At 40.1% G+C, this 13408-nt stretch overlaps 1 protein-coding gene and 1 pseudogene across 1 annotated transcript in view; one reads left to right on the forward strand and one right to left on the reverse strand.

Annotated features, from left to right (window-relative positions):
• The window catches only part of CPE (carboxypeptidase E), a 119540-nt gene that overhangs the window by 24181 nt on the left and 81951 nt on the right, over window positions 1-13408 (forward strand). The window lies entirely within an intron of this gene.
• On the reverse strand, window positions 499-3196 carry HADHAP1 (HADHA pseudogene 1; annotated as a pseudogene).

Genomic DNA, 13408 nt, shown 5'->3' on the forward strand with positions numbered 1-13408 from the left:
AAGCTATTAAAAAACAAAAGCTGAAGGCGACTGTTTTATGATGTGTGTATCATAAAGGAAACCATCACCACCTGTCATTGAAACCAGGAAAGGCTCATGTCAACTAAATGTGAAAAGAAAACAGTGTAAGAAATTAAAAAAAAAATCATATTCTTGAGGCCATGAAACACATGTTCCAGAAAACAGTTTATTAGAATTGCATTAAGTAAAAATTAATGTCTGCACACTGATGGGGAAGCAGTGTGGAGTGGTATGGAAAATGTTAGAGCAGTCTATTTTTGTAAAATCTGGAAGTTGGAATAAATAATCATTGGGGCCCCAGCTCTAAAATCCTACTACCACTATTAATGTGACAATGATTTAATTTTTGAATGAAATTTAAATTGTAACATATGCCATGGGGAATGTGTTTTCTGGCTTGCTAACAACATGAAAAGAGGATGTTGAAAGCCTCTTGTAATTCATGTTTTTAATTTCATTCTTTTTTTTTTTTTTTTTACAGAGTTTGGTTTTTATTGTTATGTGTTTGTCTGGGTGCAGAATTGCCCTCACCACCCCTGGCCACCCTGGCCTCCTGACAGGAACAGGCAAAGAGATGGCTCCAGATGGCTCTTGGCTGCCACTCTAGGCCTCAGGGCTTATACAATGAGCACAGTGGGTTCCACCTTCCAATAGCGCAAACTCTAATTCACAGTCAGATTTCACCAGGAGGGGGAGATGATCTTGGCTGAAGGCACTTTAATCAGGGAGCAAACCCAATGCCGGAGTTTGTCTTCCTTCTCGTTACTCTGATAAATCTAGATGCCACTCTGTTGGAGAACCAGCACTGCCGGCAGCTGGGGTTAGTGCACTGACTGAGTGAGGCATGAGGCCTGCTCACTGATGAAACTTCTTGTTAGGGCTGTTAGTGTGGTCAGCTAGCAGCTGGCTTGGGGTGAACTCTTTTCCATAGGCAGCCTCATACTTCTTGAGCCGGTCCACTATCTTCTGGGCTTCATACAGATCCACAAAGCAGAAAGGCCCTCCAAGACAAGGTGGGAAGCTGAGCCCGAAGACGGCTCCAATGTCTCCCTCTGCAGGTGTGGCCAAGATCCCCTCTTGCGGGCACGTGACTGCCTCATTCACAAATCTTGTCAGCAGGCGGAACTGGATGTCTTCATCTGAGGAGACTTCAGACTTAGGAGGCATCTTCAGACTTGCTAAAATACCGTTCATGTCAGAATTCAAATTCTTATTCTTCACACTCTCCTGATAGATGGAAAAGCCCTTCCCAGACTGGCGACCTAGGAAGCCCTTGGACACCATCTATGTCAGTAGTTCTGGGTTTCCACCTCCAAACTGCTCCCCAAAGGCTTTGCCCAGATCTTTGGCCACATGTTTCGCTACATCCACGCCAACTTCATCCACCAGTGTGGCGGCACCCACAGGAAGGCCAAGGCTTGTGGTCAGGGAATCCAGCTTCTTTGGGTCAACTCCTTCCTGGAGGATTCAGATGACTTCAGACATCATGGGTGCAAGACACCTGGTAGTATAGAAGCCAGGTCCATCCTTAACCACAATGATGACCTTCCCCTGCTTGAGACCGATTGCTACAGTTGAAGCACTGGTGTCTTTGGAAGTCTTCTTGGTTGTGATCATCTCCAGCAGCTGCATCTTGTCTGCGGGAGAGAAGTAGTGCCTGCCAATCACCTTCTCAGGTCTTTTGCTGACAGCAGCGATTTCACTGACTGGGAGAGGAGATGTGTTACTAGCAAAGACGTAGTGATCTGGAATCACTGCTTCTACTTCCTTTAGCACTCTGTGCTTAAAACTAAGGAAGTTGTGATGGATGGACAGCATCCATCACCATGTCTGTCTTTCAAAACCTTGGTAATCAAGCTTCCCAGTCAAGTTGCTGAAGATGGAATCCCTTTCAAATGACGTTAGAGCTTTCTTCTTTACTTTGTCATTCAATCCTTTGAACACTTGTTGCTGTCCTCAGCCTAACCCAGTGAGTGTGGCATCTTTAAGTATAGTCTTTCGCCCCTTATCCACGGAGACTTGGGCAATGCCTGCTCCCATCATCCCTGCACCAGGAATAGCCAGATGCTTAACATCCTTCTGTGGAGCTCCAGATGTATTCTTCTTGCACAGGACCTGACCATGGTAGAGTCCCATCAAGGCCTTTGATTCTTTGGTCATTGCAAGCTCTCCGAATTTCTGAGATTCAGAGAGATAACCAGCATCGCTCCCTTGCTCAATTCCAGTCTTTACCACATCAATTATTTTCAGAGGTGTGGGATAAAGGGAAAGCCCTTTAGTCCGCTTTCACACTTTTTCTTCCACTTTTTTGTAAATCTGTTGCCTGACAAATGGAATAGTCATGGCATACGCTGTTAATTTTTCCACTAATCCCTTGTCTCTCTTTGGAGAGATCTTCTTATCAGCTAGTCCTTTGGGAAAGTAATTGCAACTTCTTCTAGGTATTTGATTGTCCATTCCTCTGGAAGTTTTAGTCCTGGTCGCAGAGATTCCACCAATTGGTCAACCAGTCCCATTTTCTTTGCCCTGTCTGCACGGATGTTTCTGCCAGTCAGCATCATGTCAAAAGCAGCAGGCACACCCACCATTTTGGGCAGCCTTTGTGTGCCTCCTGCTCCTGGTAAGATCCCCAGCAAGACTTCAGGAGCACCGAATACTGTTTTTCTGTCTTTTGTTGCTATTTTATATTGGCATAAAATGGCAGGATCCACTGATGGCAGTCACAACAGGCTTTATGGACTTTTCAAGTTTCTCAAATGTTCTCTGTGCTTCTTGTGGTATCTGTGTTACTTCTTGAGGGGTCTTGCAAGTGGCTAAAATGTTGATATCAGCACCTACAATAAAGCAGCCTGGCTTTGGTGAGATAAGGATGGCACTTCTGATTTGATCACTAGCCCAGATTTCATTCATAACTTCCGTGAACTCTGAATGCAGCTGTTTGTTTATTCAGCGTATTTATCTTTGAATGGGGAGAGTTAATTTAAATAACTATCACATCCCCTTTGACTCCATAGTTAATATGGGTTCTGGTCAGCAAAGCAAAGGACCCTGTAAAATTGCGGCGTATATAACCTTGGGAGCGGAGGATCCTGAAGGCAGAGAAGTGGCTGAGGCTGCCAATCGCCCGGTAGACCACCATGTTGAGCTGAAGAGAACAGCAGTGGAGAGCGCTTCTCTTTAATTTCATTCTTATCTTTTGTATTAGCTTTTTAAATGTATTATAACCAAGGAGAATACAAATGAACTGACTTCACAGTTTTTCCCTCAGATTTCAGAATTGTACTGTTCTTAAGCTCCCTCCTAAAACTTGTCTCTTTTATTAAATATTTTAATATTTAATGGCTGAAAATCTTTGTGGTCATTATTACTTTGTTGCAGCTTTATTGAGATAGAATTCACATACCAAATAGTTCACACAATTAAAAGTAAAATTCAATGGTTTATAGTAGATCCACAGTGTTGTGCAGCCATCACCACAATTTTAGAACATTTATATCATCACCTCAAAAAGAACCCCATACCCATTAGCAGTTATTCCTCATTTTCCCAATTCCTCCCAATCCTGCTCCAACAACTCTAGGCCACCAGACTAATCGACTTTTTGTCTCTGTAGATTTGCTTATTCTAGACATTTCATATAAATCAAATTGTGTGATATGTGGTCTTTTGTGGCCGACTCCTTTAACTTAGCATAATGTTTTCAAGGTTCACCCATGTTGTAGCATGTATTAGTACTCCATTATGTGGATTTACCATATTTTGTTTTTCCATTCATCAGTTGATAGACATCTGGGTTGTTTCAATTTTTTGTCTATCATGAACAAGGCTGCTGCTATGGCACTTATGTGCAAGTTTTTTTTGTGGATATGTGTGTTTATTTCTTTTAGGTATGAACCTAGCAGTGGAATTGCTGGGTCATATTGCAGTTCTTTGTTTAACATTTTCAGGAACTGCCAGACTGTTTTCCAAAATGACTACACCATTTACATTCCCATCGGCAGTGTACAAAGGTTCCAATTTCTCTATATCCTCGCCAACTTGTTTTTTGCTGTAGTTTTGATTAGAGCCATTCTACTGGGTGTGAAGTGATATTTTGATGTTGTTTTGATTTGCATTTCCTTGATGGCTAATGACATTAAGCATCTTTTCATGTGCTTATTGACCATATGTATATCTTCTTTGGAGAAACTTCCATTCTTTTTTTTTTTTTGAGATGGGGTCCGGCTATGTTGCCCAGGCTGGTTTCAAATTCCTGGGCTCAAGGGATTCTCCCACTTCAGCCTCCCAAATAACTCAAGTGGATTGCTGGGATTACAAGCATCATGCCGGGCTTCAATTTTTTCTTTTTTTTTTTTTGAGATGGAGTCTCACTCTGTTGCCCAGGCTGGCGTGCAGTGGTGTGATCTTGGCTCACTGCAACCTCCACCTCCGAGGTTCAAGCAATTCTCCTGCCTCAGCCTCCAGAGTAGCTGGGATTACAGGCATCCACCACCACACCTGGCTAATTTTTTATTTTTTTATTTTTTAGTAGAGACGGGGTTTTGCCATGTTGGCCAGGCTGGTCTTGAACTCCTGACCTCAGGTGATCTGCCTGCCTCGGCCTCCCAAAATGTTGGGATTATAGGCATGAGCCACCGCGCCCGACCCAACTTTTTTTTTTTTTTTAAAGAGACGGAGTTCCGCTGTGTCTCAAACTCCTGGGCTCTGGGGATCCTCTCACCTCAGCCTCCCAATTAGCTGAGACAACAGGCATGTGGCACTGCACCTGGGGCTGTCTATTCATTTTAAAATGGGCAATTTATCTTATTATTGTTGAGTTGTAAGAGCTCCCTACGTATCCTGGAACCAAGCCCCTTATCAGATATACAATTTGCAAAAATCTTCTCCCATTCTGTGTGTTGTCTCCTTACTTTCTTGATAGTGTCCTTTCAAGTACAGAAGTTTTACATTTTGATGTGGTCCAATTTATGTATTTTTTCTTGTGTTTCTTGTCCTCTTTGCGTCATATCTAAAAAACCATTGCGTAATCTAAGGTCACAAAGATTTACACCTACGTTTTCTTCTAAGAGTGTTATAGCTTTAACTCTCGCATTTAAATCTTGATCCATTTTGAGTTAACTTTTTTATCGGATAAGTAGAGGGTCCACTTTCCTTCTTTTGCAGATGGATATCCCATTGTCCCAGCACAACTTATTGAAAAGACTGTTATTAAAAAAAATTCCATCCCTCAGCATATTTTCACAAGTCATGAATTTCATAAGTGAGTAGAGGCAACTCAAAGATAGCAAACAACTTGATTAATATCATTGGCTAATAAAGGGCACCGTAGGAATTTAAAAGCCTTAGATTATCTGCTTCCAAAACCCATACTTATTCCAATATACCAGTGGTTCTCAATTTTGAGCCTGCGTCAGAATCACCTGGAGGGCTTGTTAAAACACTGGTTGCTGGGGTCCCACCCCCAGAGTTTGATTCAGTAGGTCTGAGGTAGGGCCTGAAATTTTGCTTTTCTGTCAAGTTCCCAGGGATTCTGATGCCACTGGTTCAGAGGCCACACTTTGAGAGCCATTGTAATGCACTGCGATGGTTCCCCTGTGTATCCTGATGCTCGAAGAGCCTTCAGTTGGGGTGGAGGGAGACACAGAGAGAATAATATAAAGACAATAGTAGTGACAAAGGGCTAAGTGTGCATGGAGGAAGAAAACAGTAATTCTGATTAGAATATTGAAAAAAGTTTCTGCAGGACACATTATGGAATGGATTGGTTTATGGATAATCTCAAGCATTTACCTCCACCTGGTGAAATCAGACAGCAACTGTCTCTTCTTACATTTATTTGGCCACAAGTATGCTTAGAGCAGCTAAGCTCTTGAGCACATAAGCAAGTATATGGCGGAGTGGGTGGTGGTTCCGGAATGGTTGACGTGGGAAATGCAGAGAGAGCACTTAAGTGTCAGATTATGACACTGAATACGGGAAAGTGATGGGAGTGAGGCTGGTTAAAATTTTTCACCCACGCAGTCTCCCTGTGTTGCCCAGGCTGGAGTGCAATGGTGTGATCTCGGCTCACTGCAACCTCTGCCTCCAGGGTTCAAGTGATTCTTGTGTCTCAGCCTCCCCAATAGCTAGGATTACAGGTGTGTGCTACCATGCCTGGCTAATCTTTGTATTTTTAGTAGAGACAGGGTTTCGCCATGTTGGCCTAGCTGGTCTCGAACTCCTGGCCTCAAGTGATCCGCCCGCCTCAGACTCCCGAAGTGCTGGGATTATAGGCTGAGCCGCTGCACCCATTCTCCACTCATGCTTATATCCCACAGTCAGGTTCAGTGAATCGATGCCACTTGTGTGAGAGACTAAAATAAATAATGGATTTAATTTGATGACTTTTTTTTTGACTCTGAATCTTTCAGTGTACAAATGAAATCTTGATAAAGAAAATATCAATAATAGCAGTATATCAATGCTTTCCTAAGAAACTGTGAAATACTGTGGTGATCTTATCCTGGAACAAACTAGGATGAGCCAGTCTTTATTAGATTATTTTGTACTATATTTATACTTACTTTGTGATCATTCAGGAGGACCCTTCATATTGTTGAATTTGGTAAAATTTCCTTGCAGGCCTAGGTTAATGGGGTTTACAGGCTCTCAGGATTGTGTGCCAGTTGTCCTCTTTCTAAGGTAGTTTTATTCATAAACCACACAGGTTTTTTTCAAAAACACAAAAAACACAGACAAACAAACAAAAAAAACAGAGGCCAGGTGCAGTGGCTCATGCCTGTAATCCCAGCACTTTGGGAGGCCGAGGTGGGTGGATCACCTGAGGTCAGGAGTTCGAGACCAGCCTGGCCAACATGGTGAAACCCCTTTCTTTACTAAAAATACAAAAATTAGCTGGGTGTGGTGGTGGGCGCCTGTAGTCCCAGCTACTTGGGAGGCTGAGGCAGGAGAATCGATTGAACCTGGGAGGCAGAGTTTGCAGTGAGCCAAGATTAGGCCACTGCCCTGTAACCTGACAGAGGGATACTCTGTAAAAAAAAAAAAAAAAAAATCAGAGATTTTAACAGGTCAATCTTGAACTATGTGAACAACTTCAATTTATAAAAGAGTAAAAAAATCGTTGAATTACAGAACTATGAACTGACTCCTTTTTGATGCAGCCTGATTATTAATAGTCTTGTTCACAGCTGTGCCCAAAGTAGAACATCACACCGGCACTGGGTAAGTAAACAAAACAGGCCAGTAACTCTGCCAAAGACCTAGCTATTAATGGCAATTTATTTTTATTACATATTTGGAATCTTGTCATCCCAGAAGGTGCTGAAGTAGAAATTTAGTAATACTTGATTTAAGAGGCAGAAGTCCTGTAAGTTTGCAGCTATTAAAAAATGGAAAGAAAAGAAAGGTTACAAAGGGGAGGGGACCATATCTGTGTTTACATTTGTTCCTTTCCTCAAATGGAAGGTAGAATAATGTATTAGAAGATATTTTAAATATTAATATCTAACTGAAACCTGATATTAGAGAATGAGAAAATTTTGCTGAAAATTAATTTTATTTTCTTTTAATTTATGGTGTTACTATACCTTTTAGATTTAGGAAGGCAGAAAGACTGTGTGTGTGTGTGTGTGTGTTTGTGTGTGTGCACTTGCACTTTGGGGTTCCCTTTCTATGGATGTTTCAGGATCTGAGGATAAAGGATCACAGTCTAGCAGAAAGCTGGGTTTCAGGGGACGTCAAAGGTAATTTCATGACTATATTAGTAGATAAATCGAAGACCAGAGAGCATGCTGAATGGAGGACATTTACATAGTCTTTCCAATGCTAAAGGAAATAGGGAAGTGATTATTTCAAAATTACCTAGAGGATCTTGAGCATAGTATGACTTAAGATAAAAATCTCATTGTTTCTGAGAGTTGGCCTCTTTCTCCTCTCCAGATGAAATATTTTTTCCTTTTTTTCTCCTCCGTGGAAAGAAATTATTAATTAAAACAAAAAGACATTGTTGGAAAGGGAGGTTTTTTAGTCGCCTAAGAGAGGTGCTATTAGTACTTGTTTATTTAAAAATTGACTTTTGGTCAAACTAAACTATACAACTTTTTCTTTTTCAATCCTTCTTCCCTCCATCCCTCTTCCTTTCTTTCTTCCTCCTACTTTTTGCCCTTCCTCCTTCCCTGATCCCTTGTTTTATTTAGTTTATGTCATTCCACAGAGCTCACAGTTACCACCTGGTAGGTACCCTTGACATTCTACACAGTTGGTAAATCAGTGTCATACCAGTTGCTAAATAATTGGCCAGGAATAGCCTTTATCAATGAATGCTTCTTCTCCTTTTCACTCTCCATTGAATAAAGATGGAAACCAGCTTTGCCTCCTTTTTGAGTATGGCCTGTTGATTTCTAATTTGTCATAGCTCACATGGAAACCTTGTGATGCGCTTGAGGGGGTTTTCTCATGGAGACCTCAATACCTGTGGAATGTAGGGCACATGGCAAACAGATCTGGTTTATCTGATCAAGTGATTAATGCAATAAAAAATTATAAAAATTCAAAGTGAAAAGTGTGCTCTTGTTACTGTGTGTGGTAAGTAGTTTAGTGGATTCTGGTTCTACCCATTGAAGCACTATACCTGTGGCTGGTGATGGAGGCGAAAATCTTTTACTGGAAGGAATGGGAAGAAGGGTAGTGGGGGCCAGAGAGTCTCTACGTTCCTCCAGGAGGAGGAAACCATCTCTTTAAAATGACAGTGCTTTCCTTCCACGAAAGAACCATAATTTTTCTAATCATTGGTAACTATTTTGGTCTTTCAAATGTGTCAACAACTTGTACACTGGAACAGCCTCTGTCTACAGGCAGAGCAGGATTCAGTGATTTTTAGAAGGCATTTGGGCCCCAGCCAGCCTGAAAGTTGGGGTTTACAACTGTGTTAAACAGAAGAGATTTTGTTTGAAAGGGTAAAGCACATCATGGAAAAGTTGAGGAAGAAACAAAAGAGAAAGTTGCAAACTTACCTTTATGTTTATAAGAACAGATATGTTCTTGAGAGATTGTGGATTTTTAAAAATATGATTTTTTTGGTGGTGGGAAAATTGTAGACATTAAATATCTTTTTTAAGTTATGCTGACACCTTACAATTACGTAATCCTTTATAATTTTCAAATAAATACTAACATTAGTAAGCAAGTACTACATACCAGGAAAAATTCTAGTTGCTGGAAATAAGACAATAAAGAAAACAGGGATTATTTTATTAAGTCCTCTCAATAAAGCCTATGAATCAGTTACTATTATTATCTCGATTTTACAGATTAGGAAACTGAGGCACAGAGGAGTTGTGTTACTTGCTCAGAGTTTTCATAGTCAGGAACTGGGGAGTAAGGTTTGAAATCCAGACTCCAATTCCAGATCCTGTGCTCTTGGCACCACTCAGTCCTGTCTCAGGCAGGCAGCATTGCCACTGTGCACTTTATCCTAAAAACAACCCTCTGAGGGAGGTGAGAAAGGTATGTTTCTTCACATTTAAAAAATATGAACATGTTTAAAAAGTAAACAGTGATCTATTTACATCTGTATGCTGGGAAGAAGTTCTAGAGTCATCATCTTCACCTCTTCAATGCTTCAGTCATTGGCTTCCCAGCCTCTAAGCAGCCATGTATTCCATTTCTTTTTGCACCGTTATAACCAGTGATTTTCTCGAATCCAAAATCTGTAACGTTCCTCTGCTTAATTCCCTGCAGGTGCTCACTGTTACACCTAGAATCAAACCCAGACTTCTTCGCATGCGCTTGAGATTCTTCTGGCTGGGTCCCTGCACACCTCTGCAGTGTCACACTTGCACTCTCTGAGCCCTAGCTCTACAGGGCTTTTCTCATTTTAACAAAACTTGCTCTTTCTTGTCTCTCACATGTTGTATATGCCAGTTCCCTGGCCTCAACATTCTTTTCTTCCCCTCTTCCCTCTTACTCTACCCTTCTTAAGTGGCTATTCTTGTCCCTTCTTTTCATCTCTACCTTGATGCCATGTCTCTATAGTGTGTTGTAATTGCATGTCCAACGCCACTTTTCCTGAGTCCACGGGCCTGGAAACCATGTGATGCTGGGTCCAAAGTGAAGAATTGGGGGATAGAGAACGGGAATCTTGTTCACACAGTTCTCTCCAGTACCCAGCATGGTGACCCAGAACATGTACATGTAAGGCATTTGTACATGTAATTAATTAGCAGGCATGTTTTGAACACCAGCTTCATTAGGAGTGATGCCATATTTGAGGCAGAAACATAGTATGATGGAGAATTCAAGAGGCTTTGGACTCATAGCTCTTAGCTGAATTCTGGCTTTATCAGTACTACCTTTGAGGCTTTAAGCAAGTTACTTAACTTTTCTGAGCTTACTTTCTCAAATAAAAAGCAAGGATAACTAAAATGCTTTGGAAACTTTCCTGTGAGAAATTGATGTGTAAATAGATAATTAAGGGACATGCTAGGAGTTGTGTTACAGGCATGAACAGGAACACAGAGGAGGGGACAACCAACACAGCTCAAGAGGTCACAGAAGATGTCATGTAAGCCTTTTCTTTTTCTCAGAGCCTCTGGCATTGACGTGCTTGGAGATACCTGAAAATTGGGCAGCTGTTTATCTTTCTGGAAATGTTTAGTCAAAGGTCTTCTGAGCATGGAGATACAGGAAGTGATCTTCCATTCATGCATATTTATGATTCTATTCTAAGTTAAATTATTAATAGCATTTGACGAGTATTCTATTTTGATATGGACAAGAAAAATCGTTCACTTTGAAACATTTATTGAGCTCGCTTATAGCACACTGGGAAAAAAAGTCTTGGTTTTGTTATTTTTCTCAAAAGATTTGTATGTATTTTCCTGCAATAATAAACCAAAAATAAAATCCATGAAGGATCTAGAACTTTTAAGGCTATGTAATTCATATTTTAAGCCTTTACTGTTTCATAAATTATTTAAATAATTTGAGGAATTACTATTGAAGAGAGTCTTAATCTGTCAAATTGATCAGATTGGATTTATCTTGAAAACAGTTCTGCATCTTTGGATAAAAATCTATTTTATTCCAAAGAAAGCTTTTTTTATGGCAAATAAAAGCAAAGGTATACATTTTTAATAATCTTATGATAAATAGGATGATCTGCTTTAAAGAAGAGTAAGTTTATAGAGTCAGAGTATACTTGTACACACCTCAAAGTCAAACGTTTGAAAAATGAAGTTTGTTATGATTCTAAGTGTAGTTTCGAATGTAAGAAAAAGTTAAAAGTGTGATGCAGTCAGGAAGCTTGGAATATTCTCCTGCATAAATTATATGTGTTAACAGCCTTAGCAGTATTCTCTTGTAGGCCACTTGGCTCCATCTTAAAGTAGTTTGATGAATATTGACTGGTCTGCAAAATTTGACTTAAGAAATGTTGAGCCAAAGTATCCTGGATAACGTAGATATAGAGATAAAGTAATATATATATATACACACACACACACATACACACACACACATATTTACATATATACACATATGTACTTATTTACAGTGTATATAAAAAATAATTTAGAAGAATGCATCCAGAAACCAAATTGAGCTTGAAAAGTACCACCTCACATGACCGCAGGGACAGCTGGTTATTGTCTTAGGATATATTTGCATTTTGAAGTGAACTTTAGTGACATTACAAAATGCCAGATTGGAAAAACAGCCATTATTTAAAAAAAAAAACAAAATATAATTAGCACCAGATGAATGAGTTGTCTCATAATCACCTCATTATTACAAATTAATTCCAAATGAATATGTTTGAACAGGGCATTGGTTTTGAATCTTTAATTTATCTCCTCCTTAGCCTTGCTGCTGACAAATCATAAATAGATATAATTAATGAAAATGTTAATAGTGCCGGTCTCCAGAATATCTCTAGATCACTGACCTTCTGATTGGTGGAAAAACCTTTGGAGAATGATCTTTACAGGATTCCATGGCAGTGAGTTAATCTATTTTTCTCTACATGGGGGCAGCAGACGAGGTGAGTTTCTTCCTCTGTCATTTGTAGGATCTACTGTTATTCTCTGGAGAGCTATTGTGTCAGAACGGATTTGGATTATTTTTTAAAACTACTGCTACCTAGAGGGTAATTTTATTAAATTCCTTTATCATTTGGATTAAATACAGCAAAATGAAACCAGCTCCTCCTGCTCAGAGGAGCTGTCACCACAATCTTTAATATTTTCTTAGCATTATTTCCTTTAAAGTATGCTTTGGGACAATTAATAATGACTAATACTTAAATTTTCACTATGAGTAAAAGCTTTTTGGTAAACATTTATTATATATTCCATGTCTTCCTTTTATTCTCTAATTATTTCACCTATTCACCTAATTATTTTGTAGCTCAAGTGTATAATTTAAATGATGTAGAAATATAGAGATCAAAATTAATACAAATACATTTATATAGTGATGTGTTACATGTTATATTTGTCACAAATATAGCATATATTTGTTTGTCTAGTACATATATAGTATATACAGTACATATATATTACATACATACATATAGTACATATTTGTGTAGTACACAGGTATAGTGCATATATATATATATTTGTCACATATATAGAAGTCCTGTGTCTTCCTTTTAGGTAACATGGGAGAATGTAAGTTTTTGTTTTCGGTCCAAGAATGACACAGATTTTTTTGTTTGTTTAGTTAGTTTTCTTTAGGATCTAGATCCCCCAGAGGTAAACACTAAATATAAAACCGGGAATTAGAAGCTGGCCTTGGGTTCTGCAGTTCTAGGCATGGCGTTAACGTTTTTCTTAAAACTTAAGGCCCAGACTACACAAGGAATCTTCCCGCCTGCACTCCCCTGCCAGCTCAGCTACTTCCCTACTCCTGCGCCAACTCAACCGTAACAGTAGCTGAGACGAAAGCATTGCTCTGAAGTAAGGTGTAGGGAAGCTTTCTGGCTTCCTTAATAAAGTTACACACGATCTTCTAAGCTTGGCGATGGAGGGAGAAGGCACATGGGAGGGTCTTCACCGATCCTCTGGCCCTGACTCTGCCTACCCTTCATTCATTCACCTGCCCCTCTGGGGGCTCTGGGCGGTGACCACTGCCACTATTGGGCTAGCTAGTGGTGGGGGCACTGCTCCCCTTAATGCTCTGGCCCCTAGGGGAGACACAAAATATTGTTTTAAATTTCCAGTAGTGTAGCTCATGGCAGGCTGAGGCACTTACACAAAAGGGTGCTGGAGGCTTTAGGGTAACACAGTAGAAATCATCAAAGGGAGAATATGCGGTAGACAATTTAGGCTCTTCAACATAACTTGCTTGATCTCCAGAGGCCCCAAACTCTGCTCATGCCAGGCTTTGC

The sequence above is a fragment of the Homo sapiens genome, chromosome 4 (assembly GCF_000001405.40).
Source record: "Homo sapiens chromosome 4, GRCh38.p14 Primary Assembly".
Classification (NCBI taxonomy): Eukaryota; Metazoa; Chordata; class Mammalia; order Primates; family Hominidae; genus Homo; species Homo sapiens.